Source organism: Homo sapiens, chromosome 3 (genome assembly GCF_000001405.40).
Source record: "Homo sapiens chromosome 3, GRCh38.p14 Primary Assembly".
Taxonomy (NCBI): Eukaryota; Metazoa; Chordata; class Mammalia; order Primates; family Hominidae; genus Homo; species Homo sapiens.
In genome coordinates this window covers 88,172,266-88,190,251 of record NC_000003.12, presented here as the reverse complement: position 1 = coordinate 88,190,251, position 17,986 = coordinate 88,172,266, and the positions used below count along the sequence as shown (strand labels likewise).

The 17,986-nt window shown below is 38.2% G+C and overlaps 2 annotated features.

The window, feature by feature from the left end:
• Window positions 377–516: an enhancer, noted in NCBI's record as "active region_20119". NCBI's record gives its function as "activates an Ori minimal core promoter by ATAC-STARR-seq in GM12878 lymphoblastoid cells {active_cell/tissue: GM12878}" and the evidence as "EXISTENCE:reporter gene assay evidence [ECO:0000049][PMID:35858748]".
• Window positions 547–596: an enhancer, noted in NCBI's record as "active region_20118". NCBI's record gives its function as "activates an Ori minimal core promoter by ATAC-STARR-seq in GM12878 lymphoblastoid cells {active_cell/tissue: GM12878}" and the evidence as "EXISTENCE:reporter gene assay evidence [ECO:0000049][PMID:35858748]".

Below are 17,986 nucleotides of genomic sequence, written 5' to 3'. Positions count from 1 at the left end.
AGCACGCATTTCTGACCACCCTCACCCTAATCTTTTATTATGCAAGCTGGTCCTGTGCTTGGCCTGAGCCATGTTGCCTATTCCTTTACTGTGCACATGTTAACAACAAAAAAAAAGGAAGATGGAGCCTCCATAATGGATATGCCTAACCCCCAAGTAGCCCTTTTTTATTGACACAGCTGCCAGCATTCACCCATGCAAGCTTCCAGTTTGCTTCTCCATGTTTGCAGCTCGAGTTTTCAGGCTGCTCTTTGTTAGAAACAAAAATAATTTCTAGGTCTGCTTTTTGTTAAAAGGGAAGCTCTTTAGAGGACTCTTTTACACTCACTATCTGCCTGGTTTCTTTCTACCTCCTGTATCAGTATCATATTAACAAAAGCCAACATTGTGGCTTCAAAGGACATGTCTTTTTGAAGAACATAACAAGAACATTATTTTCCATGAAACACAGAAGACATCTAGACCTCAGATTGAGGGACTAAGTGGCTAAGTTGCCGGGACTTCCTGGGTCAACAGGTACTTCCCTAAGGGGACTCTCCCCTAAGCCTAAATGAGTCACAGCTGCAAACTGAGGGATTGAAACTTCAACCAATCATATAGGGAGTTTAAGCTCTAGCTGCAGGCTGATGTTTTTAACCAATCAGGCACGCCAACCCACAAGGGGATAGAAAATAAGCTAATTCTACAGGACAGAAAAAGGAAGAGGGGAGGGGTCATAAGCGGATAGAAGCCTAAAACACCCAAGCCAGAAACGGCAAACCTTCCAGGTCTCCTTCCACCGCGTGGAAGCTTTACTTTCACTTTTGCTTTAATAAATCTTGCCCCCTCACACTCTTTGGGTCCGCGCGTTTCTCTAATGGAGCTGTAACACTCGCCACTGCGGTCACAACTTCATTCCTTGAAGCCCGTGAGACCCCGAATCCTTGGATCAAGAAAAACCTTTGATCGTGAGAAGACTTCTTGTCTCAAGATGACGATTGGATTTTACCTCTTTATCTAATACCAGTTGATTCGGAATGATGCCTGGAAAAATGTATTCAAGAATGTGTGACCTCCTTTGAGTTCAGTGGAAAAGAATGAGAACATTGATTACTGGTGTCCTTTATGGGTTGAAGGTGAAGGAGGGAGGAGGAGTTTTGGAATCAAGTCTTTGCCAACCTTACTGTAGACCACTAAACATTTACATTCTACAAACCTTTCCCTCTCCACTTCCACCACCTTGTCTAGCTATAAAAGCTTTCCTCATTCACATTTAATTTTTCACAGTTCCTCCAGAATACCCTCTTCCAGCAAAGTAATGGTTATATTTGGTGAGTAAAATAACTTTCTTTTAGATTTGCAACAGACAGAGTGGCATTCTAGAGCTTCATAGCCATCATCCATCATTGGTATACTATTAATGAAGAAGAACTGAGAGGCCAATCCAAAGAACATCAATTTGGAAAAGAGAAACCAGGATTTAGATAACAACAGGGAGAAAAAAAAATTGCGAATTCAGTGTCCCTCCTTGTGTCTGCGTCCAGTACTGTCCCTTGACTCCTCCTGAGTCATGAGTAAAATTCCCCTTGCTGCAGCCATCACCACAGCTGTGAACTCTGACGGCTGGCGTCTGCCCCAAGGCTTTCCCTCGAGTCCTCCCAGAGCCAGCCCCTCCTGGCAAAGATGATTCCTTTCATCCCAGTCATAGATGTCTCTTGTGGTGGATCTGTCAGTCAAAAGAGAACATGAGAAGCGTGATTCAGGAACAAAAGGAACTTCACAGAAAGATTTAGCCTGGTGCTTCTTAGATTCCTCTATTGCACTAAACATCTTTTTATTTACCAGATTCCAAATATACACAATTCCCAGGTAGTTTGCTTGACTGTATTAATGTTATGTGTATATATATATATATATATATATATATATATATATATATATATATGTATGTATGTATAAAAGCATCATGTTGCACATCTTCAGTATATACAATAAATAAATAAAAATAATAGATAAAATATAACTAATGTTGAATTTTCTACTCATCAGTATCTATTTACATATTTACATATAAGTTCCTTTTTCACGATTAGAAATTTTATTTGTACTCCTTCAATACGTGCTTTTATTCCAAGTGCCTCATATAATATTATCCCAGTGTGACACATTTTGTGCTCTTTTTTAATTATTATACTGTAAGTTCTAGGGTACATGTGCACAACGTGCAGGTTTGTTACATAGGTATACATGTGCCATGTTGGTTTGCTGCACCCATCAACTCATCATTTACATTAGTTATTTCTCCTAATGCTATCCCTCCCGCAGCCCTCCACCCACCCCCAAAAGGCCCCAGTGTGTGATGCTCCCCTCCCTGTGTCCATGTGTTCTCATTGTTCAACTCCCACCTATGAGTGAGAACATGCGGTGTTTGGTTTTCTGTCCTTGTGACAGTTTGCTGACAATGATGGTTTCCAGCTTCATCCATGTCCCTACAAAGGACATGAACTCATCATTTTTTATGGCTGCATAGTATTCCATGGTGTATATGTGCCACATTTTCTTAATCCAGTCTATCATTTATGGACATTTGGGTTGGTTCCAAGTCTTTGCTATTGTGAATAGTACTGCAATAAACATACACGTGCATGTGTCTTTATAGTAGCAGGATTTATAATCCTTTGGGTATATACCCAGTAATGGGATTGCTGGGTCAAATGGTATTTCTAGTTCTAGATGCTTGAAGAATCGCCACACTGTCTTCCACAATGGTTGAACTAATTTACACTCCCACCAACAGTGTAAAAGCATTCCTATTTCTCCACATCCTCTCCAGCACCTGTTGTTTCCTGACTTTTTAATGATTGCCATTCTAACTGGTGTGAGATGGTATCTCATTGTGGTTTTGATTTGCATTTCACTGATGACCAGTGACGATGAGCATTTTCTCATGTGTCTGAGGCCGGCATAAATGTCTTTTTTTGAGAAGTGGCTGTTCATATCCATTGCCCACTTTTTGATGGTGTTGTTTGTTTTTTTCTTGTAAATTTCTTTAAGTTCTTTGTAGATTTTGGATATTAGCCCTTTGTCAGATGGGTAGATGGCAAAAATTTTCTCCCATTCTGTAGGTTGCCTGTTCACTCTGATGGTAGTTTCTTTTGCTGTGCAGAAGCTTTTTAGTTTAATTACATCCCATTTGTCAGTTTTGGCTTTTGTTGCCATTGCTTTTGGTGTTTTAATCATGAAGTCTTTACCCATGCCTATGTCCTGAATGGTATTGCCTAGGTTTTCTTCTAGGGTTTTTATGGTTTTAGGTCTTACATTTAAGTCTTTAATCCATCTTGAGTTAATTTTTGTATAAGGTGTAAGGAAGAGATCCAGTTTCAGCTTTCTACATATAGCCAGTTTTCTCAGCACCATTTATTAAATAGGGAATCCTTTCCCCATTTCTTGTTTTTGTCAGGTTTGTCAAAGATCAGATGGTTGTAGATGTGTGGTGTTATTTCTGAGGCCTCTGTTCTGTTCCATTGGTCAATATCTCTGTTTTGGTATCAGTCCCATGCTGTTTTTGTTACTGTAGCCTTGTAGTATAGTTTGAAGTCAGGTAGCATGATGCCTCCAGCTTTGTTCTTTTTGCTTAGGATTGTCTTGGCAATGCAGACTCTTTTTTGGTTCCATATGAACTTTAAAGTAGTTTTTTCCAATTCTGTGAAGAAAGTCATTGGTAGCTTGATGGGGATGGCATTGAATCTATAAATTACTTTGGGCAGTATGGCCATTTTCATGATATTGATTCTTCCTATCCATAAGCATGGAATATTCTTCCATTTGTTTGTGTCCTCTCTTACTTCGTTGAGCAGTGGTTTGTAGTTTTCCTTGAAGAGGTCCTTCACATCCCTTGTAAGTTGGATTCCTAGGTATTTTATTCTCTTTGTAGCAATTGTGAATGGGAGTTCACTCATGATTTGGCTCTCTGTTATTGGTGTATAGGAATGCTTATGATTTTTGCACATTGATTTTGTATCCTGAGACTTTGTTGAAGTTGCTTATCAGGTTAAGGATTTTTGGGATGAGACGACAGGGTTTTCTAGATATACAATCATGTCATCTTCAAATAGGAAGAGTTTGACTTCCTCTTTTCCTAATTGAACACCCTTTATTTCTTTCTGTTCCCTGATTGCCCTGGCCAGAACTTCCAACACTATGTTGACTAGGTGTGGTGAGAGAGGGCATCCTTGTCTTGTGCCAGTTTCAAAGGGAATGCTTCCAGTTTTTGCCCATTCGGTATGATATTGGCTATGGGTTTGTCATAAATAGCTCTTATTATTTTGAGATAGGTTCCATCAATACCTAGTTTATTGAGAGTTTTTAGCATGAAGGGCTGTTGAATTTTTTCAAAGGCCTTTTCTGCATCTATTGAGATAACCATGTGCTTTTTGTTGTTAGTTCTGTTTATGTGACGGATTACGTTTATTGATTTGCATATGTTGAGCCAGCCTTGCATCCCAGGAATGAAACTGACTTGATCGTGGTGGATAAGCTTTTTGATGTGCTGCTGGATTCGTTTTGCCAGTATTTTATTGATGATTTTTGCATCCATGTTCATCAGGGATATTGGTCTAAAATTCTCTTTTTTTTGTTGTGTCTCTTCCAGGCTTTGGTATCAGGATGATGGTGGCCTCATAAAATGAGTTAGGGAAGATTCCCTCTTTTTCTATAGATTGGAATAGTTTCAGAAGGAATGGTACCAGCTCCTCCTTGTACCTCTGGTAGAATTCAGCTGTGAATCCATCTGGTCCTGGACTTTTTTTGGTTGGTAAGCTATTAATTATTGCCTCAATTTTAGAACCTGTTATTGGTCTATTCAGAGATTCAAATTCATCCTGGTTTAGTGTTTGCAGGGTGTATGTGTCCAGGAATTTATCCATTTCTTCTAGATTTTCTCGTTTATTTGTGTAGAGGTGTTTATAGTATTCTCTGATGGTAGTTTGTATTTCTGTGGGATCAGTGGTGATATCCCCCTTATCATTTTTTATTGTGTCTATTTGATTCTTCTCTCTTTTCTTCTTTATTAGTCTTGCTAGCAGTCTTCTATTTTGTTGATCTTTTCAAAAAGTCAGCTCCTGCATTCATTGATTTTTTTTGAAGGGTTTTTTGTGTCTCTATCTTCTTCAGTTGTGCTCTGATTTTAGTTATTTCCTGCCTTCTGCTAGCTTTTGAATTTGTTTGCTCTTGCTTCTCTAGTTCTTTTAATTGTGATGTTAAGGTGTCAATTTTAGATCTTTCCTGCTTTCTCTTGTGGGAATTTAGTGCTATAAATTTCCCTCTACACACTGCTTTAAATGTGTCCCAGAGATTCTGGTACGTTGTGTCCTTGTTCTCATTGGTTTCAAAGAACATCTTTATTTCTGCCTTCATTTCATTATTTACCTGGTAGTCATTCGGGAGCAGGTTGTTCAGTTTCCATGTAGTTGAACGGTTTTGTGTGAGTTTCTTAATCTTAAATTCTAATTTGATTGCACTGTGGTCTGAGAGACAGTTTGTTGTGATTTCTGTTCTTTTACATTTGCTGAGGAGTGTTTTACTTCCAATTATGTGGTCAATTTTAGAATAAGTGCGATGTGGTGCTGAGAAGAATGTATATTCTGTGGATTTGGGGTGGAGAGTTCTATAGATGTCTATTAGGTCTGCTTGGTACAGAGCTGAGTTCAAGTGCTGAATATCCTTGTTAACCTTCTGTCTCATTGATCTGTCTGACAGTGGGGTGTTAAAGTCTCCCATTATTATTGTGTGGGAGTCTAAGTCTTTTTGTAGGTCTCTAAGGACTTGCTTTATGAATCTGGGTGCTCCTGTATTGGGTGCATATATATTTAGGATAGTTAGCTTTTGTTGTTGAATTGATCCCTTTACCATTATGTAATGGCCTTCTTTGTCTCTTTTGATCTTTGTTGGCTTAAAGTCTGTTTGATCAGAGACTAGGATTGCAACCCCTGCTTTTTTTTTTGCTTTCCATTTGCCTGGTAGATCTTCCTCCATCCTTTTATTTTGAGCCTATGTGTGTCTCTGCATGTGAGAGGGGTCTCCTGAACACAGCACACTGATGGGTCTTGACTCTTTATCCAATTTGCCAGTCTGTGTCTTTTAATTGGGGTATTTAGCCCATTTACTTTAAGATTCATATTGTTATGTGTGAATTTGATCCTGTCATTATGATGTTAGCTGGTTATTTTGCTCGTTAGTTGATGCACTTTCTTCCTAGCATCGATGGTCTTTACAATTTGGCATGTTTTTGCAGTGGCTGGTACCAGTTGTTTCTTTCCATGTTTAGTGCTTCCTTCAGGAGCTCTTGTAAGGCAGGCTTGGTGGTGACAGAAATCTCTCAGCATTTGCTTGTCTGTAAAGTATTTTATTTCTCCTTCACTTATGAAGCTTAGTTTGGCTGGATATGAAATTCTGGGTTGAAAAGTCTTTCCTTTAAGAATGTTGAATATTGGCTCCCACTCTCTTCTCGCTTGATGGGTTTCTGCTGAGAGATCCGCTATTAGTCTGATGGGCTTCCCTTTGTAGGTAACCTGACCTTTCTCTCTGGCTGCCCTTAACATTTTTTCCTTCATTTCAACCTTGGTGCATCTGACAACTATGTGTCTTGGGGTTGCTCTTCTCAAGGAGTATCTTTGTGGTGTTCGCTGTATTCCCTGAATTTGAATGTTGGCCTGCTTTGCTAGGTTGGGGAAGTTCTCCTGGATAATATCCTGAAGAGCGTTTTCTAACTTGGTTCCATTCTCCCCATCACTTTCAGATACACCAATCAAACGTAGATTTGATCTTTTCACATAGTCCCATATTTCTTGGAGGCTTCGTTTGTTTCTTTTCACTCTTTTTTCTCTAATCTTGTCTTCTTGCTTTATTTCATTAATTTGATCTTCAATCACTGATATCTTTTGTTCCACTTGATCAAATTGGCTATTGAAGCTTGTGCATGCATCACGAAGTTCTTGTGCTGTGGTTTTCAGCTCTGTCAGGTCATTTAAGGTCTTCTCTACACTGGTTATTCTAGTTAGCCATTTGTCTAACCTTTTTTTTCAAGGTTTTTAGCTTCCTTGTGATGGGTCAGAACATGCTCCTTTAGCTCGGAGAACTTTGTTATTACCAACCTTCTGAAGCCTACTTCTGTCAAATTGTGAAACTCATTCTCCATCCAGTTTTGTTCCATTGCTGGCAAGGAGCTGCAATCCTTTGGAGGAGAAGAGGTGCTCTGGTTTTTGGAATTTTCAGCTTTTCTGCTCTGGTTTCCCCCATCTTTGTGGTTTTATCTACCTTTGATCTTTGATGTTGGTGACCTACATATGGGGTTTTGATGTGGTTGTCCTTTTTGTTGATGTTGATGCTATTCCTTTGTTTTTTAGTTTTCCTTCTAACAGGCTCCTCAGCTGCAGTTCTGTTGAAATTTGCTGGAGGTCCACTCCAGACGCTGTTTGCCTGGGTATTACCAGTGGAGGCAGCAGAACAGCAAATATTGCAGAACAGCAAATATTGCTGCCTGATCCTTCCTCTGGAAGCTTCGTTCCAGAGGGGCACCTGCCTGTATGAGGTGTCTGTCGGCCCCTACTGGGAGGTGTCTCCCAGTCCGGCTACACTGGGGTCAGGAACCCACTTGAGGAGGCAGTCTGTCCATTCTCAGAGCTCGAACGCCATGCTGGGAGAACCACTGCTCTCTTCAGAGCTATCAGACAGGGACATTTAAGTTTGCAGAAGTTGTCTGCTGCCTTTTGTTCAGCTATGCCCTGCCCACAGAGGTGGAGTCTAGAGAGGCAGTAGGCCTTGCTAAGCTGTGGTGGGCTCTGCCCAGTTTGAGCTTCCCGGCCACTTTGTTTACCTACTCAAGCCTCAGCAATGGCAGATGCCCCTCCCCACTCCAGCCTGCAGCCTTGCTGGCCAATCTCAGACTGCTGTGCTATCAGTAAGCAAGGCTCTTTGGGCGTGGGACCTGCCGAACCAGGCATGGGAGGAAATCTCCTGGCCTGCTGGTTGCTAAGACTGGGAAAAGTGCAGTATTTGGGCAAGAGTGTACCTTTCCTCCAGGTACAGTCTGTCATGGCTTCCCTTGGCTAGGAAAGGAAAATTCCCTGACCCTCTGCGCTTCCCAGGTGAGACGATGCCCCGCTCTGCTTCGGCTCACCTTCCGTGGGCTGCACCCACTGTCCAACCAGTCCCAATGAGATGAACCAGGTACCTCAGTTGGAAATGCAGAAATCACCCATCTTCTGTGTTGATCTCACCGGGAGCTACAGACTGGAGCTGTTCCTATTTGGCCATCTTGGAAGTGACCTCACCATTTTGTGCTTTTAAAAGACTTATTGATCATTGTACAATATTTCTAAGCAACAACAATGTGATCATAAGTTTTAGAAACTTCCCCACAATATTTTGTGGTAAAAAATGTCTTCCAGATTGAATTATTACAATTGTTACTGTCATATAATTGATCAAAACAACCTAACTAGTTCACATATTTTACTGGAAATCCATAATTTACTGAGATGAATTAATATTCTTACTGCTTGACTAAGTCAGGGTTTGTTATCAATTCCATTCCAATTTTTTGTTGTTGTTGGTTTTGGGTGTAAGCATGATTTATACCCAAATTATGGTTATAAGTAGAGACAAAATTACAATATCATCCAAATTTAAATGCATTCCTAATTTACTTGTCCATTTTAATGTATGCAAATTTTAGATCAAAAGGAAAATAATCAGATAGTAATTTATTGTCAAGATTTACTTTTAGTAAGCAGAGCATCAGATGAAAACTTATTTCAATTTGTTTGTTTGTTTGTTTTGAGACACAGCTTCTGTTGCTCATCCTGGAGTAGAGTGGTATAATCACAGCTCATTGCAGCCTTGGCCTCTAGGCTCAAGTCATCCTCTCACCTCAGCTCTCCAGGTACCTGGGACTACAGTCAGGTGTTCCGGGCCTTGCTAATTTTTTTCTTTTTTCTTTTTTTTCCTTTTTTTTTTTTTTTTTTTTTTTTAAGAGATGGGATCTTGCTATGTTACCTAGGCTCGTCCTGAACTCCTGGGCTCGAGATATCCTCCCACCTTGACCTCCCAAAGCATAGTTTTTCTTTAATTTTGTTAGAATCAAATAATTTAAAAGATAGTTTAGCAACCACTTGACTTAACAAAACTTTTGTTGAACAATCATTATAGTGATTTCCTTTCTCTTTACAAACACTAATAATTGAAAATTCTCTTTGACTAGCATCCAGAGGTTTTTAATACCACAGGGCAATGCACTATAGTGAGACTCAGAAGGGATGAGAAGTAGGTGTTTATTTTGTAAAATGGAAGAACAGCAATTGTGAAAAAAAAAGAAAGGAAAGAAAGAAAGAAAGAAAAAAGAAAGAGAGAAGAGAAGAGAAGAGAAAAGAAAAGAAAAAAGAGAAAAGAAAAAAGAAATAAGGCTGGAAACATGGTATAGCACGTAAACCAAGTTCGTTGGGGAAAATGCAAAGGACATTGAGGATCAGAAAACTGATTGCCTTAACACTCTTTAGATCAGCCAAATTTTCCAGAAAGTCTCCAAGTACCCTCAGAAGCGTAAGTTTACCAGTTGGAATTGCATTACTACAAAGCCAATTCTAAGACATAGACATGAAACACTCTGAGAAAAGCCTTGGCCACAAGATGTCACCAAATTTCCACTTTCTACTTTAAGGTGCTATTATAAGCTTCCTTCCTTCAAAATGATCCGCAGCAGCATTTGGGTTTTGAACAAGAAGAGGACAGATAAAGTACTCTGATTCTTTCTTAATTTTAAAAGAAAAAAAAAATCAATGGGTAAGAAGGGAGGATGAAGAAAAATAAATTAGTTTTGCAGTATTATCACATGTTATCTGGGCCTTAACAAATTAGTTTCTAGTAAAATGTGATCCAATGAACACATTTAAATAAAATTAAAATTAAACAATTTAAAGTAGGTACTCTAAAGTGGAAAAAAATCTTGTGTTAATTTGCTTAGGAATCTATTTTGTTTTAAATAAAAAGTAAATAAAATGAAAAAATATTGTAAAAATGAAGATTTTATTAAAATCCTGAGAAAATTGATAACTTGTCAATAAAAATAAGCCTATCCCTCAGAGCAAATTTGTGTTAGAATAAAAGGCATCTGTTTATCCATATACATAGCTCTATGCAGCCCCTAAAACATTTTATTATTCAAGTTTACTTAGTGTTGAAAATGTTACCTATTGCTTAGTTATTCAAGACTGTTATATATTTATAGTATTTATTGTACTGTATGTATGTTGAGAAGTTAATTATTGATATGCTAAATTTGTTATAGTTGGGAGTTAACTTCATACAGATTAATATGGATTAAAAATCCAAATTTCTCAAAATTCTAGATTTTTAAAACATATAGACATTCAAATTACATGTCAAGTTGTGAGTATTAGCATATTCCTCAGTTTTCAGTGTGAATATTAGCATATTCCTCAGTTTTGAGATTATTGTTTCATAAATGTTTCAAACCACATTATTATGTATGTTAAGGGTATTTTAATTAATCATTCCAACTCTGGCATAAGTAGACAAACTACTTAGTAATGTCAAACCAAAATAATATTCTGGCAGTCTCTGTCAGTAAAATGTCATTTTATCTGAAACATGAACAAACTAATTTCTGTTGTTGTTTTTGATATTTTTCTTTGAACATTATAAAAATTTTCAAACATAAAGCAAAATTGAAAGAATTTTAAATGAGTACCTGTATATCTTCCACAAGGTCCTACTATTAACAGTTTAGTATACTTGCTTTATCATATCCATCCATCAATCCATCCCCCATCCATTAAATCTCTTTTATTTATGTAAGCACTTTAGAGTTCAATATTTGTGTGTGTTTATGTGAAATGTACATATACTACAATGTACAACTCTTAAGTGTATATTCACTGAGTTTTGACAAATACATACATCTGTACACAGTCAAACCCATATCACGATATAGAACGTGACCTTCCTGTAAGAAAGTTCTCATAACCTTCACAGTAAATTCCTACCCCAACAACTCTCCAGAGGCAACCAATGTTATTTTTTTTTCCACTGCAGATTGGTTTTGTTTGTTCTAGGCTTTCTTATAAGTGGAGTCACAAAGTATGTACCCTTTTGTTTAAATCTTCTTTCACTAAGCCTTCATGTTGAATGCAATGTATAATTCATTTATTTGTATTATAGAGGAGTATTTCACTATATATGCCATAGTTTGTTTATCCAATCTCTAACTGAACATGTGAGCTATTTCCTTTTTGAGGCTTTTCTGAACAAAGCTGCTATGAATATTCTTGGATATGTCTTTTTGTGAATATATGCTTTTATTTCCCTTTAGTAGATGCTTATTAGTGAAAATGCTGGGCCATAGTGTAGGGATATCTTTAGTTTTAGCATTTAGCATTTAGTTGTGGCATTATACAATCCTTACAAAAAATGTATGAGAGGTCCAGTTTTTCTATAACATCACTAGCATTTGGTAATGTTTATCTTTCTAAATTATAGTCATTCTGGTGGTAGTGTCTTGTCTCCTGGTTTTAATATGTATTTCCATAGTGACAGTTGACATCGTATACTCTTTAATGATTTTATTGGCAATTTGTACTTCTTTTTTTATAAATTGTCTATTCAAATACTTTGCCCAGTTTTAATTAGGTTATTTGACTTTCTATTGCTGAGTTGTAGGAGTACTCTATGTATTCTGCATACCCGTCCTTTGTCAGGTGTGAATATTTCTTCCAGTCTTAGCTTTATTTGTGAATATTTCTTTGTGAATATTTCTTCCAGTCTTAGCTTATTTCTTAATGTTCATTTTAATTAGCAGAAACTTTTAATTTTGAAGAAATATAATTTATCAATTTTTTCTTAAATGATTTTACTTTCTGTACCTGATGGTACCTTTGCTTATCCCCAAGTCATAAAAATATTCTATTTCCCTTTAAAGGTTTTATGGTTTTAGCTTTTATGTTTAGGTCTATGATCCAAAATTGATTTTTCTGTATAGTATGAGGTGTGAGTCAAGGGGTTTTGTTAAAATATGGATATTTAGTATTCCAAGGGACTTTTCTTTCCTCATTGGCTTTGTTAAAAAGCAAATGTCTATGTAAGTGCAAGTGTATATCTACGTTCTTTATTCTATTCCATTCATCTGTGGATCCTTATTTTTACCACACTGTCTGGATTACTACAGCTTGATAGTAACTTTTGCCTCTAACTTTGTCTTTATTTATATACTTTTTGGATAATAGCTACTGAAGATAGGTGCATATTTTAATATTATGTAAGTCTTATGAAAAATGACAACAAATTGCTTTTGGGGGCTTATGAATTTCAGTCTTAATTTGGGACATAGAGAAAAGGAAGCTTTTTGTTCTTATCAACAACATAAAAGCACTTGAAATTAGCCAGAGGATTGTCTAAATAATCCCCAAAATTTTACTTTGAGATATTTAATTTAGATATTTAAGAATTTGTACCAAATTCATTTTATAAAATATAAGCAATATGCTTAGGGTGTCTAGCTAGAATATTTTAGGCTAAACACTGCAACATCGGCTCAGGCTTCCCACTTTATAGCCATATCTATTTGCCTTTTTACCTCATTTAAATGAAATGAGGCTTGCACACAGTTTAAGTGCAGACCAAAATCCTTTATTCAGATTCCTACTTTATGCTCCCAGCCAAATTCCTTTATCTTTACTCTTCCACTTGCTTTAAACCTTCCTGCATGGTGTTCTTGGTTTTATTTTCAAGGTCGTACATTGTGTCAGCTGGCTATAAAGCCCACATTTGCATCTGGATCCTAATTTGTAGCAGTTTCATTCAACTTGACTCAAGGATATGACCACAGCAGTCTATCTAAACAAAGGGGGAAGTTTTCCAAAATGTCAAAAATCAAGTCTTTTTTTTTGTTTACAGACGGGTGTTTTGCATTGAATCCTTGGGAGTTATTGATGATCGTTATGGTACAGACTATTTTGACTTGAATAAATTTAGGCATAACAAAATCTAATTTAACACCCTATGGCACAATAGCTAGATCCAACCAAGTGCCATGAAGAGATTCTATTTTACATATATATATATAATATATATTATATATATAATATATATATAATATATATTATATATAAAATATATATAATATATATTATATATATAAAATATATTTTATATATTTATATAAAAATTACATATTTATATATATATATAATATATTTTATATATTTATATAAAAATTACATATTTATATATATATAAAATAACATATGCCAGGGAGAAAATCTTTCCACTTTTTAAGCAATTTTCAACTATCTTCAACACAAATGTGTGGTGTGTGTGCATACATGTATAATTACAAACATAATAGGTAAAATATTCACTATTTTAATGGTTAGGGACTTTTTTTTTTTTGAGATGGCGTCTTGCTCTGTTGCCCAGGCTGGAGTGAGGTGGTGCGATCGCAGTTCACTGCAATCTATGCCTCCTGGATTCATGCGATTCTCCTGCCTCTCAGCCTCCTGAACTACCTGGGATTACCGGTGTGAGCCACCACACCTGGCTAATCTTTGTATTTTTAGTAGAGATGGAGTTTTACCATGTTGGCCAGGATGGTGGCTCATGCCTGTAATCCCAGCACTTTGGAAGGCTGAGGCGCGTGGATCACTTGAGGTTAGGTTAGGGACTTTTATGACCTGAATTATGCCTCTCCAAACTTTATGTATTATACCACTCAGAATGCTATGGTATTTAAAGTGAGGTCTTTAAGTGATAACTAAGGTGACATTCGGTCATTGGGGTGAGCTCCAATCCAATGTGACTAGTGTCCTTATAGGAAGAGGAGCTTAGGACACATGTGTGTGCACAGAGGAAAAACCATGTTAGGACAAAATGAAGACACAGCCTTCTGCAAGCTGAGGAGACAAGCTGAATGAAACCAACCCTGTCAACACTTTGATCTTGTTTTTGTTTGCTAGTTTTTAGAGATGGTCTCACTCTGTAGGCCAGGCCACATCAAAGCTCACTACAACCTCAAATTCCTGGGCTTGGCCAGGCATGGTGGCTCACGCCTGTAATCCCAGCAGTTTGGGAGGCCAACGTGGGCAGATCACTTGAGGTCAGGAGTTCGAGACCAGCCTGGCCATTATGGTGAAACCCCGTCTCTACTAAATATACAGAAATTAGCCAGGTGTGCTGGCACGTGCCTGTAATCCCAGTTACTTGGGAGGCTGAGGCAGGAGAATTGCTTGAACCCAGGAAGCAGAGGTTGCAGTGAGCTGAGATCATGCCATTGCACTCCAGCCTGGACAAAGAAGTGAGACTCCATCTCAAAAAAAAAAAAAAAAAAAACACACACACACACAACAACAAAAACACAAAACCTCCTCAGCTCAAGCAACACTCCCGCCTCAACCTTCTGAGTAGCTGGGACTACAGGCGTTACCATGCCTGGCTAACACGTTGATCTTGAACATCTACCCTTCAGAACTGTGAGAAATAAATGTCTGCTATTTAAGCCACCCAGTTTGTGGTACTTTATTATGGGAGCCTTAGCAAACTAATATGGGGGTACAGATTCCAGAGCTAAGCCACCTGGGTATAAACCAAAGCTATGCCACTTGCCTGCTCTGTGACTTTGAGTATGTCACTTGACATCTCTATGCCTGAGTTTCTTTATCTATAAAATCAGTAAAATAAGAGTACCTACCTCATACTGTTGTTATAAAGAGTAAATGAGTTAGTACCTAAAAAGTACTTAAGCCAAAAGCCTTGCACATATTATCTTACATCGATCTTAGCTATTATCATTTATATAGCAGTATGTCAAAGTATACTAGATTTTAAATAATTGAGCCACATTTCAAAAACTATGTCTCAACATCTGCTTTTTATGTTCTTCAATGAGTTTTACTAAGAGGCATAGTGGAATGCACTTTTATTTATTTATTTTAAAAGTTTTTTAATTATAGTTTAAGTTCTGGGATACATATGCAGAATGTGCAGGTTTGTTACATAGGTATACACGTGCCATGGTGGTTTGCTGCACCCAGGAACCCGGCATTTACATTAGATATTTCTCCTAATGCTATCCCTCCTCTAGCCCTGCACTCCCCAACCAGCCCTGGTGTGTGATGTTCCCTCCCTGTGTCCATGTGTTCTCATTGTTCAACTCCCACTTATGAGTGAGAAATGCAGTGTTTGGTTTTCTGTTCTTGCGTTAGTTTGCTGAGAATGATGGTTTCCAGCTTCATCCATGTCCCTGCAAAGGACATGAAGTCATCCTTTTTTATGGCTGCATAGTATTCCATGGTGTATATGTGCCACATTTTCTTTATCCAGTCTATCATTGATGGGCATTTGGGTTGGTTCCAAGTCTTTGCTATTGTGAGCAGTGCTGGAAGGAATGCACTTTTAGATTTAGATTTCGATTGACAGGGCTCAGTCTTATGCATTCATGTAAGATATATACTGCAGAGGTTTGGCATGAAGTTTATCATTGATAGTTTTTGCTCCACACTACGCCATAGGACTGAAATAATTTTGACACATTCTTAAATATTTGTCTGGAGGCCTAGAATTGCTCATGATGAAAAGCTGCCTCCCAGTTACCAGGAGCTATGTTAATTTGCTTAAGGAATGAAACCACATCTAGTATAGCAGCTGCAATTGGAGTCACCACTTGGTTAAGCTTCCAATAATCCACTGTCATTCTCTGTCTTCTGCACAGAATAAGAGAATTGAATGTTGATGTAATGAAAATCACCAACCCTGCCTCCTTCAAGTTCTTGATGATAACACCAATTTCTGCAATCCCTCTGGGAATGCAGTATTGCCTTTGATTTTCTATTTTCCTAGGTAGAGACAGCTCTAATGGCTTCCATTTGGCCTCTCCCATCATAGTAGCCCTCCCTCCACAGGATAGAAAACCAATGAGAAGATTCTGCCAGTCGCTAAGTACGTCTATTCCAATTATGCATTCCACAACAGGGAAATAACATAGGATGGATGGGGACCCAGTGGATCCACTGTGAGTTGGACCTGAGCTAAAACTCCACTGATCACCTGACCTCCATAAGACCCTACTCTGACTGGAGAGCCACAGTGATGCTTTTGGTCTCATGGAAAAAGGAAATAATCAGACCTTTCAGGGACTACTGGAACACTGGCCAGTAGTTCCTGAAAGGTCTGATTATTTCCTTTTTACCAATGCACAGTTACCTTGATAAAAGACCATAGGTCTCTTTGGGGAAGGGTGAAAGAAAGATTAAAATTATAAATTTTTGGTATTGTACTAGGGTCCTTCCTTAATGGGACCTGGCTTTCCCTCATTCAAGGAGTTCCGGGTCTGTAAATCTGCTCAAGACTGGGAACTGATTGAGGGGTTATGATGATGTTTTTATGATTCAGGTTAAATGTTTGTTTGTTCATTTGACCTATAATTTTTCTCCTCATACAGATCAAGTAAAAATTTAGTAGGCTTCTTATCTATATCACTTCTAGGAACATCATGATCAAACAACCACTTTCATAGGTTGCATAAATCAGGTTATCCTGATTGCTACTTTGATGCTACTGTACGTAACAGTACCACACCCATCTTGCTTTTCACAGTTGAGTGTCAGCATTTGGCCCTTGCCATCTGGGATCCAATGACTTCCATTGCATTTAGGTTTTCTAATTGAGTGGCTGTGACTCCCATTGTAAAGACTGGCCTGCAGAGAAGAACAATCACAGAGCTCTTCAAGGATGCTGGCACTCCCCTCACAAGTCTATTTCTCAGTGTATTGGTAAGGTATGTTTTCCAGACCCTCCCAGTGTGGGTAAGTAGGTCTTAGGTGACCAATCCACTCTAGCATTCCAATCTCCCTAAGACTTTGAATTCCCTCCTCCACATTAAGCCAAGGGAGATCAGGCATCTTCAACTTGCTCATGGTGAGCCACCTTTTGATTAATATTTCAGCCAATCAACCAACCAGTTTGTATGCTTTCTAACTCTCTAAGCTGCAACATTAAATTCAGAATTACTATTTAGTGGGCCCATATTAATAAATTTGGCCTTATCAAACTTTATGTTCCTTCCACCATTATCCCATACACTTAATATTCATTCCCACACATGTTCCCTGGATTTCTGCTTGTGCGAACTAGAAAATTCAAATAGTCCTTTTGGAGTGTAGCATACCTCCTCATTGGTCAGACTTTGTACCTCACCTTTAGGAGCCTGCTGGGATTTGAGTCTAGTTATAAGCCTAAAAGCAAAAAGGTGATAGAAGTGGGTATGGGGAGAATCAGCATTGTCTTTCTCGGCAAATGCCTCAGGGGGCCATTATTATTTCCTTAGACAATGCAGGGTTAAGTGTAGAAAGGCCACTACCACTGTGGGTAAGAATGCCACTGCTTCTGGGGGTGGGAAGGCAACTTCTGCTCACAAAAAAGACTCACCAAAATTTAAGTGCTCAATGTCCCCAGCTTCATCATGTCTCCCCACATGTCTTCAAGTCAACTTACAGGATCCCATTCTTTCCCAATCAATGCCCTCACTTTAACAGTAGATGCCCTATGAGGCTAGGGATTCAACTTTCATTTAATTCAGCCAATCGCATGATGAGGACTTGTGTTTGATTTTTAGCAATTTTAGCCCTATGGCTCCAGTAGAGAAAATTTCCACAGGGTACATCTAGAAGCTCTGAGGTCATGTATGCATTGCTTGAGCTGGGAATTTGAATCCCTTAACTCATTCTTTTCTTTCATTACTTTGTGCAGTAACATTAGGAACAACCAATAAATATCATTATATTCCTTAGCACTATGGTAAATATTTGTCTCCTCCGAACCTCATGTTGAAGTTTGACCCCCAATGTTGGAAGTGGATCCCAATGGGAGGTGTTTGGGTCCTTGGGGTGGATCCCCCATGAATAGATTAATGTCCTCCCTGTGGGTGGAAAAGGGTAAGTGAGTT